This window comes from Homo sapiens, chromosome 5 (genome assembly GCF_000001405.40).
Source record: "Homo sapiens chromosome 5, GRCh38.p14 Primary Assembly".
In the NCBI taxonomy this organism is placed as follows: Eukaryota; Metazoa; Chordata; class Mammalia; order Primates; family Hominidae; genus Homo; species Homo sapiens.
In genome coordinates, this window is record NC_000005.10 from 107,548,418 (window position 1) to 107,564,566 (window position 16,149).

Genomic DNA, 16,149 nt, shown 5'->3' on the forward strand with positions numbered 1-16,149 from the left:
CATTTAATATGATTATTTTTATAAGAGCAATAACTAAAAATAAAGGAATGCTGTAGATATACCTTCAGATAGTTTTTTTGCAAGGTGAGTAAGTTTCTAAAAAGATTGACAGGTAAAACTTGAAATTTGGGAAATACGTGCTTGGATTCCTGTTGTACAACGGGCTACAAGGAACTGTCACATAAATAACACAGCACTGAAATGTACAGCTGACGTGAGCTGTTAGTAGGAGCAGTGTCTAGCAGAAGTAAAGAGGCTGATGCTGAGTATCTGTTGTATCAGTCCTTTGTTTTAAAGCCAGATGTGCAAAATGTGAAACCACCTGTCAGTTTCCTCATCTGTAGGAAGCAGTCTTTCAAAGGTGTGTTGGCTTTGGTGGATTATGGTGGTAGGACTAGTACTCCACCAAGTTCAACAGTGTAAAGTGGAAGAAGTCTAGCCAAGTAAAAGTCTTCGAGAGGATTTGCTCTAGACGAGATTAAGATCCCCAAACCCTCCAGTGTCTGAATTAAGTAAAATGACACAATTCTCACACTTAGTAAGAAAACATATACACTTACACATACACATTTTTGCAATTACAATTGTGTAATTGATTTACCCAATAGTTTTTCCAGAATGCTTTACTTTGCAGGCTGGATATTTCTTTTCTATGCAATCTAGCTCTAGAGAAGTAAAAATTCATTCAAAGTATGCCAAGAATGTTGCTTCCTAAAATAGTGGTCCTGACACATTTCAGAGTAAGAAAAAAAGAAAGCCCAAATTGTAATTGATTTACATGATAGTTTTTCCAGAATGCTTTATTTTTCTTTCGGATTAACAATTAATAGTGGTCAAAAACACTGAGGCTTTTAAATATATAGGCACCTCACCAATTTGTCTGGTAATTAATCAGGAAAGAATTACATGCTGTAATCCTTTAACACAAAGCAGACATTATTTCATTTGATCCCCACAAAGTCTTTAAGATAAGCAAGGCAAGAACTATCCTCATTTTACAGGTAAGGAAGTGGATGCTCATAGTTTACCATACTCATATTGTTAATAAGTAGCAGCTTGTTAGTCCCCTCGAACAGACTAAGAGAGAAGTATCCAGTCCCTAAGAGTAAACTGGGGTTCTTTTGAACAGATGGGCCTGGACCATCGAATTGTGTGCTCATCCATACCGAGCACCCACATCTTTCTCTATCTCACAGTCATCAAATTCAATCTCTTCAGCTCTCATTTCAAGCCTGTTGGGTCCCAGGCTTCCACAGTGGTAAGAGGGAAGGGAGAAGGGCCAGTCCTCTGATGTAGGATGCCTCTGCGTAGGGATGTCCCTGTAAGAGTCCTGGCAGTGGCCTGGGCCTTGTCCTGGGATCAGGCATTGCTGCCCTGAGTTCTGGCTCTGGCCATGAGGAATGAGCAGCCACCTTCCCAGGCCTCCTATGCTGTCCAGATCCTTCAGCACCCATGGGGTTGCCTGACCCATGCAGAAATAGCACCTCTCAAATGTAAAAAGGGATTGGTTAGTACCTATGGCTCTCTGGAAATGGAAGTCATTCCTTATAAGGTATTTGTCTACCTTTCAACTTTTGGATTTTTGACTGTCAAACACATTTTTAGGACAGTAATCTGTAGTCAAGCTCATTATAGGGTCTTCTTAGAAAAGAAAGACATTAACAAAGAAAACTGTAAAATAGCTGTCATCATGGGCAAAGTGCCCTCACATGGTTCCACTAAATGCAGAGATGCTTTTAGATGTGCTCAGATTTCTGATGGGTACACAAAACTGTGGTCCTGAAACACAGGGAACAACTCTTGTCAGCAATATTCTGAGATGTCAAATGTCAATTTAACATGGAAATATTATAACAAGTTAATAATTTAAAAGTTCTATTTTAATATGATTGAATCATATAATACTAATAGTAAATTGTCATTGATATAATCAATAAGTGTTTCCTCATCTTTATATGTATGCGAGACAGTGTTAGGACTACAACACTGAATTTACTCCTCTTTTGACAGTATTGTAGAGGAGAATGATTATGCGCTTACCACCTACATCACAGGCAAATTGTCTAATCTTTCTGAGATTCAACTTCCCCATTTTTCAAATGGGAAGAAAAACACATACTTTGCAGTATTGGTATAATGGCTAAATGATACGATATATGTACTGTACCTTAATAAGGCAGTTATAATTTTCATTCCTACTTTCTATATTGAAATAAAATGTATGCACTTTAGTAGACATTTCTATTCCCAAAGAATACCAAACTTTGTAGTTTCATTTCAATTTGGCCACCATCATAATAGAGACTTGTCTCAGCTGAAGTCTCGTCAAATGCCACTACTTGATAATCTGCAATGTGACTTCTAGAAGTCCTTAGAATATTTTCAGGCCCTACCAGTATTTTGGTATTCTAGGTAGACTACAGTAGTATTCTAGGTAGTATTCCTGCTAGGTACAATGAAATGAAAAACAATCAGTTTCTATAACTATAAATTTGGTAATTTTAAAAAGCTTTAGTATACAAATATCACATTATAAAATCAGGATGCTATAAAAATTGTTTAATCCAGTAGTACCCTACATTAATAAGGTGTTTTAATAATATCACATAAACTTTATATAGCACTTAATAAATGCCAGGTGATGACCTAAGAGCTTTTTATAGTATAATTATGCGTCCTAACTCATTTCATAGTCCTGGCCACCCTGTGGCCTTAGTACCATCATCATCTTTTTTTCCAGAGATAAAAAGATAGAGATGTAGGTTAATTAACCAGCCCCAAGGTCACACAGCAGTAGGTGCAGAGCCAGGATTCAAACCCAGGCCAACTGGCATTAGAATCCATGCTCTAAGTCAAGGGTCTGCCAGTGTTTGTTTGAAGGCCAGAGAGTAAATATTTCAGGCTTTGTGGGCTACACGATCTCTGCCACAGACAATCTGTAACATGTAGCTTGCCAACTCCTGCTTGAAACCATTACACTCTTCTGCCTCAGAAATGCTTTATATTTTTCAGAGTAGTTTTACACGTAACTCATTCAATTCTCACAATAACCTTTTCTAGTAATGACATGTTCTGTTATTGCCCACTGGTCAGCAAGAAAACGGAAGCTCAGTGAGTATCCCCCTTAAATATCCAGCAGCAGAGACTAGAGACCCACGTGCCTGGAGTCCAGATTGAGGGATCCATACAAGAATTTTTTCTGATCTACTTTAGCAACTCCCTGCCGATCTCCATATTCTTCCCTACCAAACAGGACACTTAGGAAACAAATGATCAAAGTGGAAGTTATGACACCTATTTTACCCCTCTTTGCAGTATCGATTCATTCCGTCTCTTTCCTGTCCTATCAGAAGAAAGGATGTCTCTGAACATTTACTGTAAAATTTCCCTACAAAATTTTAATATAAAAACATGTTCTGAAAAATCTCCTAGGACATGATAATTCTTTTAAGTCTAAGAAGGAACTATAAGCAAAATATGTAAGCTTTTAAAAAAAAAAGGCTGTTAAAGATTTTACAAAGCTGAAAAAAATCTCCACTACTGTCTCCATATGACCAACACTTTCAGCTAAAAGTGTACTTTTATAGCAATCTCTCTCCTCTTCTCCTTCTATTGAGACTCAAGTTTTTTTTTTCAATATTGCCAAATGCATACACTATAAAAAGTGACTTAAAAAATTCTGGCGTTAGCAGAGTTATGCAAACCTGGCCATTTACTGTGGCCCACAACACTGCAAAACATGACCAGGGCTCTCATTACCTCTGGGAACTTCTTCTGGAAAAAGCGAGAAAATGCCTAAGAGCCTTCCACATACTAGCTTTATGGTAAATGGAAATAGCAAAAGTGTTGTAAAAAATTACAGTGCCAATAACAATACTAAGAATGATAATAATAATAACTGCTAATATTAACTGAGGGCTGATTATATGCTTGGCATCATGCTCACTATGTATTAACTCACTTGATCCCCAAGTGACCCATGAGGGAAGTGCTCTTACCATCCTCATTTAATAGGTGAGGAAACTGAGGCACAGAAAGCATAGGTAACTCATGGGAGAGAAGAAAACTGGGAAGTGACAGACTCAGTGATAACTACAGGCTCCAAAGTCTATGTTAACCATTCTTACCATTCCATTAGTGAACAACATCTGGTGTCTACTTAGAGCAGGGCACTGTGAAAAATGTAACTGATATGTAAAGTAACTGATAACTTTTATAGTATCAGTCTGAAATCTGTTTATATGAATTGGCTTCATCTCATCAGGGAGCTCTGTATATTCATGGAGCTCTCCATTTTACAAAGCCAAGGGAATGAAGATTTTAAAAATTCAGAGAAGAATGTTCTGATGTTGTCATGTGCACCAGATATTGCAAACAGCTATCTATGGTACAGTGAAGTGGAAAAGACTAGCCCATGTAATAGAACAGGATTTCTGGGTCCGGTTCCTGGTTCTGACATTTTGAGCAATAATTTTTATAAGCTGTAACATGTGGGCAATAGTAATTTACCTGTGAGGGTTAGTTTTAGGGGTAAACAAGACAATATGAGGGCACTTTGTAAACTGCAAAAGGATAAATAAATGCAAGTTGCTATTTTTTTTATTATAGCCCTCCTCTAAGGAATTAGCTTTAGATATAAATTTCCCCCAGAGGGGTAATCCTAACCACAAGGCAATACAAATACACCAAGAAAGAAAGAGTGACAGGGAGAGAAAAAGAACTGCCCCAGTCCTGTTCCACTAAACACCCTGGAACTTAAAATATTTACTTGGGTTTCCCCAGGGGCCTTATTAAACTGTGGGCAGGCAGCGGCCATGACTAACAATGGGACGAGCACTCACTGCCTGCTCTGCAATCCCCAGTGACCCTGCCATGGCTCGGCTGTGGAAACGTTAGGGAAGAGAAATATGTGACACAGGGAGAGGAAAGATGGGAGCTAGGAAAGAAAAGATCTCAGCCCCACTCCACCACCGCCCCACCATCCACTGCTTTCAAAGCTTGGTGAGAGTAATCTACTCCATAGGGTCAAGGCCACAGTCACGCCAGGGAAGGCAAACCCATCCATTAGATTTTATATCCCTAAAGGGGAGAGACCATCTCCATTTTACATCTCCCCGAGGTGTAGTTGTTTAAACATTCGGAGGAGACCTTGACCTTGAACAGAAGCTCTTACTGGACTAACATAGCCTGCTTTCTCCTAGTGGTAGAGCAATTATCTGGCAAGACACTCTACTTTGTGGCCATTGCTATTGACATTAGTGTATCTTCTTGCATATCCAATGGGAATTCTACAGAATTCACTAAATAGATAATAGTGATGAGATGTTGATTCCTTTTATGATTTTCCTTCTACCAAATGAAACATATTGAATATTGACATTTTTGGTCTAAATTATATACACATTATTATCATTCTGAGGGATTAGTTCTTCACAGAGTCAGTTAAAAAGGCATTTGCATGATTCTTTGTTCTTAAGAAAAAAAAGACAACCCCACACCTAGTAACTTCTTCCACACATCATTATATTTTCTTTCTTTGCAGTTATTTCTGGATTATTATTTAGCCTGGGATGTGAAAATATCTGATACTTTACAAAAGAAAATTAATACCTAGAGTTGAGAAGTAATTCCTTTGAAAAATAGAATAATTTTATGATAAAAATTCTATATGCAGAGTAAAATGAGTTTCTTCAAAGAGGCAAACTGTAACTTATGTCCAGAAAGCTGGCTGATCGCCCTATAATTTGTTAGCACTGTTTTAAAAATCATACTGATCATAACAGTTCATTCACTGAGACATTTTATTTTTTTCCAATACTTCAAGGCTAACAAATTACAAAAGGGAGAAATTAATTACACTAGAATATAAACAGATGTATATTAAAAGCACACATCTCATATGTATCAGAAATAAAATAATTAAAGCTTCGAGCACCTTTTCTAGAATCCTCCCATTCTGATATTTCAGTTGACTTTTATGCCCCAAATAAAAGAAGTATTACTGCTGGTGATTCTTCTATGACACTGATATGGGAAAAATTAATATTTGCATAATACATGTAAAAGCAGAATAAAACAAAAACATACCAATAATAAGTAATGGTGAGGTTTCTCTATTTATCCTCATAGAAACATTAGGTGGAAGAGAAAGGAAACAATTATAATCATTTCAGAATTAAAAAGGAGGTAGGAAGAAACTAATTGATAGGCAAAGAGAAATATCCATGAAGTGTATAGGGCCCTCAATTTATTTAATCCTTTGATTATACCTAACAAATATCATGTGCCAAATACTGTGAGATCAACTTCACTATCAGTAATAACCCTATGGATTAGGCACTATTTTCTATACTTTGCAGATAGGAAAACCGAGTCTTAAAAAGGCTATGTACCTTGGCCAAGGTTAAAGTGCTACTAAATGCCCGAGCCAAGATGCAAATTCCTACACCCTGCACATCTTTGGAGGGACATTTACTACTACGTTCTGCAACAGCAGCTTCTGCCAGCTGGGAGGGAGAGAGGTTACCATGCTGTCTGCCTGGCAGCTGTGCATTTCTCTAGCTGGGCTCTGAACAACTCAGAAACATTCAACTCGATCTGGAGCTGTGCCTCAGCAATTCTCGGTAACCTGGGCATTCTCACGGGTTCCCCACCTCTTGCTCTATGCAGGACACTTTGTCTAACATATCCTGCAGAGACAGATGTAGAGAGTTGAGCAGCTTTAAAAATAATGAGTCTTGGCAAACTCTTGGCTTATTAGCCCACACACCAGTTCACATATGACTGGAATCCTCAAATCAGATTACCTGACAGGCAATTTCATTATCTTGCTCTGGTACACCTTCAGAACCCTGAGATAGCCAGATACACATCACCCATTAATCTATTTGGTCAGCCAACATGCAGCTTTGTAATCCTGTTCGTGCAGCTACCCATGTTCAACCATTTTTTAGTGCTTTTGTGTCCACTGTTATATGCCATTTTGTGTACAGGAGAAGAGGAATGGAGATTTTATTTGTGTTACATATTTAATTTCATCATTATTTTATTCTACAATAATTGAGGCTGAAGTCATCAATGTAAAGAGATTTTTATCCCATTACTTCTCATCTAGTCATCTGAAACTGAATGTTAAACATTCTGCCATGTAGAGTAAGCACTGACCACAACATGGGTTTAATTAACCTGTGACAGAAGAAAGGAATGCAAAGAATGGATAATAGCTTAAAGTTAGATGTAAGATATACACATTCTTCTATAATCGTAGTGTATATAGCTAATCTGATTTTGCTACAACTGTTCATTAAATCTCAAGCCAAAAATAATGGAAAGAAACTTCTTTATTAAGTAGCAACTTGCTGCAAATCTCCATTTCAAGAATATAGTAAAAATAGCATTCTTTCTACTTCTTTCTCATCTTTCACCCAGAAGGCTGAAAAAGCAGGATGAGCTTCCCTTAGGGTGCAGAGTAAAACATCCTGGTCCTTTCAAAGCATCTCTATCCAACTCACCAGCTCATACTCCTCCTATAAAGATCAGGCATTCCATGCAAATTGCACGACACAGTCTACGCTGCTGGACACATTCATGATTTCCCTTCTTCACACCTTGTGCCCCTCCAAAATATACCCATTCTGAGCCCTTATACTACTTACCGTCTATTTGGTCAGTAAGTCAACCCCATTGCCTCTCTTTGGCACAAAAGTATCCTAAACTGCCTTTGTGGATAAACATGCTATCCCCATCAAGGCTGTCCAGACCTGGCACTCACAGTTTCCTATCCACCTTAGTCTCTCCCACATCAACTAGTAACCAGGAGAACTACATTTAATCCACACTTCCTATGTGCCAGGCACCATGTGAGCTGTTATATGTACACATTCTTACTTAATCTGCACAAGAGTCCTATTAGAGTTTACAACCACCACCAAAAACCTGCACAAGTTATTTGGCAACAAACTGCAAAGTAAAACTCAAATTTTCTATGCTTCAAGCTGGAACTCTGTTCTCCTACCCATCATAGTCTTCTTAATAAATAAATATCTCAGCCTGGTGTGGTGGCTCATGCCTGTGATCCCAGCACTTTGGGAGGTTGAGGCGGGTGGATCACTTGAGGTCAGGAGTTTGAGACCAGCCTGGACAACATGATGAAACCCCGTTTCTAGTAAAAATACAAAAATTAGCTGGGCATGGTAGCGGGTACCTGTAATCCCAGCTACTCAGGAGGCTGGCACGGGAGAATCGCTTCAACCGGGGAGGCGGGGGTTGCAGTGAGTCGAGATCGCAGCATTGCACTCCAGCCTGGGTGACAGGAGCAAAATTCCATCTCAAAATAAAAATAAATAAATAAATAAATAAATAAATAAATAAATAAAATAAAATAAATAACTATCTCAAATCCAGTGGTCTGCAGCAAGAGGAAGTCACCTGAACAAATGCCCTCATAAAGCCAATTCATTACTCCATTTCACATTCCACTAATGAAAAGCCACAGGAAGACTTTTTTTTTAATCTAAATTTTGATCTCATTCAGGTCCCTCCAGCACATCTTACCTGCCCTAAATGACCCGGTATGTGGCAGACTAGTCATACCAAAGTTGGAATACTTAGGAAGAAATTAAACGGCTGTTTGGGCCCAAACCTTAAGGCTCCTGTTCCAAATCCCTCTCCTAAAACCACCTACATCTCCCTCATTTCTCACAGCATGTCTATCATTATATGTCCCTTTTGAACTGTAAGCTACACAGGGCACAGATCGTATCTGTGGCTGTAAACATATTTGCCTTGGTCCCCAGCACAATGCCTGGTACGTGGGAGGTGCTTAGCAAACATTTGTTAAATGAGAAGGGGCGAGAGAGGGAAGCCTGGAGGTCAGGTGGCAGGCATCCTAGCTTGAGTTTCAGCCAGGTACGTGGGAGGTGCTTAGCAAACATTTGTTAAATGAGAAGGGGCGAGAGAGGGAAGCCTGGAGGTCAGGTGGCAGGCATCCTAGCTTGAGTTTCAGCCACACGCTGCCTCAGGAACCACGCAGCCCACTGGCAGAGTTGAGGGTTGACAGGAATTCCGAGACTGCGGTGCCTGGGGCAATGTGGTAAAAGCTATTTTTGTTTCCTCATGTCTAAACAATGACATTTGTCAATGGACATATACAGAAGTGAATTCAATCCTGGTTAGTGTGACATTCTTCTACACGCTGCCGGCTCTTATCTGTGTGTGTACTATAGTTCTCCTCTGTACAAAGGGGATTTAAAAAGAGGCTCTAATATCAGAGATTTTGCTCAATAACTAAAATTATAAGTGACCTTTTTCAGAGTTCCTTTAGAGACAAAATAGCTTGTATATACAAAGTTTTGTTACCATTACATGTGTTTAGAAGCGTTTTTACCTTTGAATAATCTAAATAGTTGGCCTCTTATAATAATGATGTAAATAATGAAGCAGTCAAGTGGAGCGGTTCACAGCATACATTTACAATCAAAGAGACCTGGGTTCAGACAATTTCTCAAAAATATTATGCAAGATAAAACAAGCACAAAATTGCAATCATATGATAGTATCTACCCCCACGGTATAGGTGGGAGGATTAAGTAATTAAATATAAAAGGTTTAGAATAGTGCCTGGCACATGGTATATATAAATGCTTGCTGTTATTATTTTGCATTTTAAAAAAAGTCTGAGAGGGGGAGGGGCATTAAAATAAACATAAACAAGAAAAAAAATCTGAGCCCCAAAGAGATTACAAGACTTGCCCAAGCTTACACCGAAATATTCGAAGTTAAGCCTAAAACTCAAGTTTTAACCCCCACTCCCGGCAACTGTACTACATAATGCCACACAGATTATACTGTTTTTTTTTTGTTGTTTATTTTTTGTTTTTAAGTAACTCGCTTTTTTTCCTTTGCCTTTTGCATTTTACACTGAACAATAATTTCCTAGCTTTCAGGAAATAGTAATTTTTAAATGCTTACCACCTGATTATATTCATTAAAGATTTCCAAAATAGTCCCTAGTCTAGCAAAGTAGAAATCACACCATTATTATATTATTACAGAGCTGAAGAAAGAGAATATATTTCTCTTCCAAAACTTCTATGAGAGTCAATATAATTCCTATTATACTTTCTCTGCTATTTTATTATCCTTTTCTTTATTAGAGGTTTAGATTTGAAGCCACTCAAGAAAAAGGATAGGAATGGAAAGAGATTTAAATTGCTCTTTGTCCATATTAAGGCCAAAGCTTTAGCAGATAAGGGCAAAGGGAAGGTTAAGACACAATGGTCAAATGCTGTGACCTAATTACGTCTGGACTTACTTATTTTCTTGTCCTTTCATTAATGAGAATCATCTAATTTAGACTCAGTTATCATGTAACAATAAAAGCCATATATGTTTAAACATATAGCTTTGCCTTGATGTAATTACTTTCTAAATGGGAAATATTTATGGAGCAGAATCATCCAGGCTGAATCAAAGGAAAGAGAACAAAAGAAAGTTGGTTTACATGAGGTTTTTGTTGTGTTTTTCTTTTCTTATATATGTTCTGGCACTTTTATGTTTAAGCCAAAAACTGGAGGCAGAAATGAAGAGAATTCTACAGCCAGATGGGCGCTTAGATGACAGAATGGCAAGAAGGGATGTTTGAGATAATCTTATGTTTCAGGGAACTGACACAGTTTCGTAAATCACTGGGATGGTGAATGGCCAGGACTAGGGCCAGATGCCCTGATTCCCTATGCAACTTTCCTTCCCCCTACCCTGGCCCCTCCCATCACCACTGCCTCTCCCACCACTCAGCACCTTTGCAGCCCTGCTGGGTCCCATTGCCTCCAAAACCCTTCTTCATGGTAACTTCTGCTGTCTGGGGCTTTATTTTCTGATCATTCGTTGTGACTCTTCTTCTTAAACCATCATTTGACTCTTTCATATATATCTGTCTAGCGAAAAATATACATGTATATATATTTGCAACCCTCTTAGGATATAGTATAGCAACAGGCCCATAATGAGCACTGAATATTTACTGACAGGATGAGGGAATAAATGAATTGCTCTTGATGTTTGCAGAGAGCACTCCCTAACAGTTCTCTCATAATTTTTCTTCTCCACAATATAATTCATAACGAATGCTAACTTTACATTTTACCAAAGACCCAACTACATCTGTTTATGTTCATTTCACTACATACATGAAGTTTTAAGTCATATGCACAATCAAAAGAATATTTATATTCTCTCTGAAGGAAAATATGGTCTCAAATATAACTGTTTGAAAGTCATTCATCACATCTCTGGAAGAAGTCCTCCTATAGCCATCCTGGTGCTAGGAGTAAAATTGCTGAAAGAAAATAGAAATGTACCCTACTGCAAAGATAAACATTAAAATACACACTGATGCCTCTAGAAGAGCAATTATCCTTTGGGGAGTTTATTTGCTTTAAAAAATACTTCTTGCTGGATGCTTTCCCCCCAAATCTGAACATATGAATATACTTTGAAACAAGGATTGGGCATAGATATTGCTTTCTTTAATATGTGTTCTGAAATTGACTAAAGGAACAGGCTGGCTGTGGGGATAATATATTCATATTGGATCCTATCTCAAACTTGTTACTGTGAAACACTTGGTATTCTAAGAGTATTAGGGTAGTTATATAAAACTAGATTTACTCTATTTTCTCAAATGCTCCAACACTGAAGATTCAAGCTTCTTATGCTGAAAGTTTATTTTTAAGAGATTGCTTTTACATTAAAGGGCTAAAGAATGAATTACTTTCAACTTCAAATTTTACATAATGCTTATCAGCCAATATACGAAGATTTTCAATTTTTACTTAAAATATTGACTATGTTATTAAAAGCAACAGGCCAATTAAGGCCTTTGAAATAATATAAGGTACAAAAGGAGAAGAAAAGAAGAAAAATCACCTGATTCCTTAAACAAAGTAACAAAGTAACTAGTTGACAGATGAAATTTCCTCTTCTAGTTAGGTATTATGTAGTCTCAACCATAAAGAGCAGGTGAATTTGGCTGTGTTAAAATCTAAGTAAAAAATACCTTGTTATTCACCTTTAATATTACCCACTTGTCCTTCTTTCCATTGAACTACTTGAGTCATCTCCCCCGTGCCGCTGTGAACTGTGCTCATACTTTAGCTGGCCACAAACGTTAAGTCAAGCTCTTAAATATCCGTTCTAGTTTCACATATGCTACTACCTAGCTGTGTAGCAAGGACAAGTGGCTTAACGTTGTGGTTATCAGATTCTTTATCTCTCAAAAAGGGGATGGATTAGACTTGGGCTCCTCTCCTTGCTCCCATCCCCAACTACCCTCCATATCGTACTGCAGGGACAGGCCCTCATCCATCGTAACAGCGACTTGCTTAGACAATGCATGGAGTGAGGCTCCCTGAGATCAGAATCCCAAAGGTGAGGCAGAGCCAGGAATGGCTGCATGGACCAAGCTCTAAGGATCCAGAACTAAGCCCTATAGTTCTGTAATGTGAGCGCCACCTTTACATCAGGTTCTAAAGACAATGCTCTTTTTTCAACCAACAGGCAACTACTGCTGTCTATGAGACATGAGACTTTATCCATTAATTAACTATGTCTATTAAGAACAGGTACAGCAGACAGATGCTGTATAAGGGATATAATCCCTGTTCACTATCCTAGGTTCCCCAAACTCTACCTCTTTACAGGCCTGATGAGCAAATTAAGCATACCTGGACAATTTCAGTGCACAAGACAACTGAAACCTGCCTTTCCTGCTGAAATGCCTTCTAAGAATTAACAATTTAAAGCCATGATTTTGGTCTTTACAGGGTCATTAGTAAGAAATAGCCATAAAATGCAATTTATAAAATTCAAAATAAACTCTGCTATGCTACCTGGTACCACTTGTGTTAAGAGCCATGTGACAAGCACCTCTTAGTCATTAAATACCAGGAAAAAAGTACACTTTTTTTTCTTGAGATGGAGTCTTGCTCTATCACCCAGGCTGGAGTGCAATGGCGCTATCTTGGCCCACTGCAACCTCCACCTCCTGGGTTCAAGCAATTCTCCTGCTTCAGCCTCCTGAGTAGCTGGGATTACAGGAGTGTGCCACCATGCCCGGCTAATATTTTGTATTTTTAGTAAAGATGGGGTTTCACCATGTTGGCTAGGCTGGTCTCGAACTCCTGACCTCGTGACCCGCCCACCTAAACCTCCCAGAGTGCTGGGATTACAGGTGTGAGCCACTGCACCTGGCCTGAAAAAAATACACTTTCATGAGAAAATTACAACTATATGAATAACCAGGTTTCCCTTTCCCCACAGCTAACAGGAGACTAAATGCCAAATTTAATGCTTAAACAGATAGTGGACATTAAGTTCTCCATAAAATATTCTCATCTAATACATTTCTAGTTTATAATTTTTATTCCAACTGACTTTTTTTTAATGTATTTTTTCATTTACCACTTTAGACATGCCTGAAGTAAGTGAATATATAAATATATACAGGCCAGGACAGTGTCACAGGGAAACGTAAGGAACCGAATGCAGTGTTGACTACACAGCCTCCTCCCCACTGGGGGATGGGACGCACCCTGCCACCCTTGGCAGTTGAGGTCAGGCTGACCATGAGGAAAGAAACGGTCATGTGGATTCAACTGCTGAATTCAACTAACCACACCAGCACTTCAACCCAACTATATTCATTCATCTAGGAGTTTCTTTGAGCTCAGCAATGTTGTTTCTTGATCCTTTGACAAAATTAATGATGTAGCAATTCATTACTGACAGGGCAAAAAATTTTGCCACAATGTTTACAAGCTCTAATAAATTATGGATAATTTACCAAATTAATACCAGTGAAGTGAAGCCCGCCTTTTTAGATTTTCATTTATCATTCTACCTAGCTCTTTCCTCCCCTCCGCCCATCGTCTGTCTCTCTCTCCATCTCTCTCTCTCTCACATACAAGCAGATAGCGTCATTTTTAAGCTTATATTTTTTCTAAATCAGCATTCTAGGTCACTTTTTGTGAAATGAAGTTGAAAGTATTTATTAGGTTGCTTGCACCCACAGCAACAGTATTTCTGTAACAGATTTTGACTTGAGAATCAAAGTTTGAATATAGTATAATTGGTATGTTCTAGCTTGGTCCCATGGCCCATTAAAAAAAACTAGAATTAGACATAAAGTAATGAAGGATCCTATAAAAGAAGCTGAGCATCATTTTTTAAAAAAGTTCCTAATATGTAGTAAACTCACCATTGTGAATATCAAACTGTGTTGAGTACCTACTGTGCAGAAGACAGACTCCTCCATCAAGAAATTTTTAAATCTAGTGCAAAAAATAAAATAGAAAAGAGAGCTTCCTTTTATACATTTAATATTTGGGTTTGGAAACAATATATTGGTGTATGAGCTTATAAAGCCAAATTATTCTTAGCATCCAGATAATTTCTTGTGGCAATAATGGGAACTTTTATTTATAATGTAATATTTATATTGGAACAGCCAGCATTAAATTACTGAGCTGTTTGTGTTATAAAATACACAAAAAGGAAAGGCCTCATTTTCAGAGGATTCACAAACCAACATGAAAGTCAGTGGGGTACAAAAGTAATCACCCACCAGCTCTGCAACCCTTATGATGACCATGAGAGGGATGCATGGGTTTTCTCAAAGCCATACCCAATTCTAGGGGAAGAAAACTCATTAAATAACTCCTTTGCAAAGAGCAGGGCTTAGTTAATAGTCCATGCTCTTTAAGGACCAAACCTTTAAAGAGAGATCACTCTTATTTGCTATTTTTGAATAATTCCACACTAACAGCTTATCTCCAGCTGGCTATCTTCGGTTACATCTGACTTTCCCCAAGCACCCCACTTTCCTGCCCCATCATTAAAACCTGGGAGTCATCTCACCACCTGCTCCTTTTGTGTTCCCTCCTGTGGTCAGATGCTTTCTTTCTCTTCCAAGTTCTTGGGACACCTACTTTCTTTTTATTTTATTTTTAAAAGTTATTATTATTATTATTGTCATTATTTTAAGACAGGGCCTCATTCTTTTGCCTGAGCTGGAGTACTGAGGCTCTATCATAGCTCACTGCAGCCTCCACCTCCTAGGCTCAAATGTTCCTTCTGCCTCAGCCTCCTAAGTAGCTGGGACAACAGGTGTGAGCCACTATGTCTGGCTAATTTTCATTTTTTGTAGAAATGGGGTCTCACTATGCTTTCTAGGCTTAGGCTGGCCTCCAGCTCCCGGCCACAAGTGATCCTCCCACCTCAGCCTCCCAAAGTGCTGGGATAACAGGCATGAGCCACTGCACCCGGCCATGCTTTCTTTTCCTTTCCTTGAGTCTCCTTGTATCTAAATTTACATCCCTCTTGCTTGCACTGTGGCAGCAGACTCCTAACTGGGCTTTCGGTCTCCAGTCTCACCTGACCTTAAGATTATTCTTTCTAAAGTGCAATTCTCAATTCTTTGCAGTCTTGTTCGCAAGTCATCAGAACCCTCCCTCTACCTTCCTGGTACAAACAACTTCTCAGTTTATCATTTGAGAACCTCCTCCTTGGGACTACTATTTGCCTCCATCAGGTTCCCTCCCTCAGTCAAAGTGGTCTCAACTACTGTGCTCTACAAGGATTACGCCTGCTATTTTCCTCCTCAGCCTGCAGAGGGGATGGGCAGGGGCTGGGCAGGAGCTAGGGAGGCTGTGGGGTTGGGGAGGGACACTCTGCAGGCCTGTTGCTTCCCACCCTCCAGCAGCTGGGTCTATTTACCCAAGTGTCCAGCATAAATCATTTTCTGGAATATGCTCCAGGCAAAGTGGCTTGACAAATTACTGTTAAAGGCAGAACTTCTTGTCTCTGTCTTGGCTCCTAGCCTTCCCTCCATTCTGCATTTTCAAAATCCTGCCATTTCACACCCTTCTCTCCTAAGAAATCCTTCCTGACCTTCCCGCCAACATGGGGCTTCCTCTTTCACACATATACAGCATTTGGTATGTGCTTGATGGTATTAGTTGTATTTGCCCTGCAATTAGCGGATGATACTCTAATTGTCCTGTGTCTGTTATTAGGATGTAAAAGGTATTGTATTCCCCAAAAGCACCTAACTCATAATACAGGTACCCAACAAATGTTTGTCAAGTGCCAAGA

The 16,149-nt window shown here is 38.9% G+C and overlaps 1 protein-coding gene and 1 long non-coding RNA gene across 3 annotated transcripts in view; one reads left to right on the forward strand and one right to left on the reverse strand.

Annotated features, from left to right (window-relative positions):
• EFNA5 (ephrin A5) overlaps window positions 1–16,149 on the reverse strand; it is a 294,044-nt gene that overhangs the window by 171,524 nt on the left and 106,371 nt on the right. The window lies entirely within an intron of this gene.
• On the forward strand, window positions 8,518–16,073 carry LOC124901038 (uncharacterized). Its single transcript, XR_007058895.1, has 2 exons — window positions 8,518–8,806; window positions 8,908–16,073. It is a non-coding gene; the product is annotated as an uncharacterized LOC124901038 (long non-coding RNA).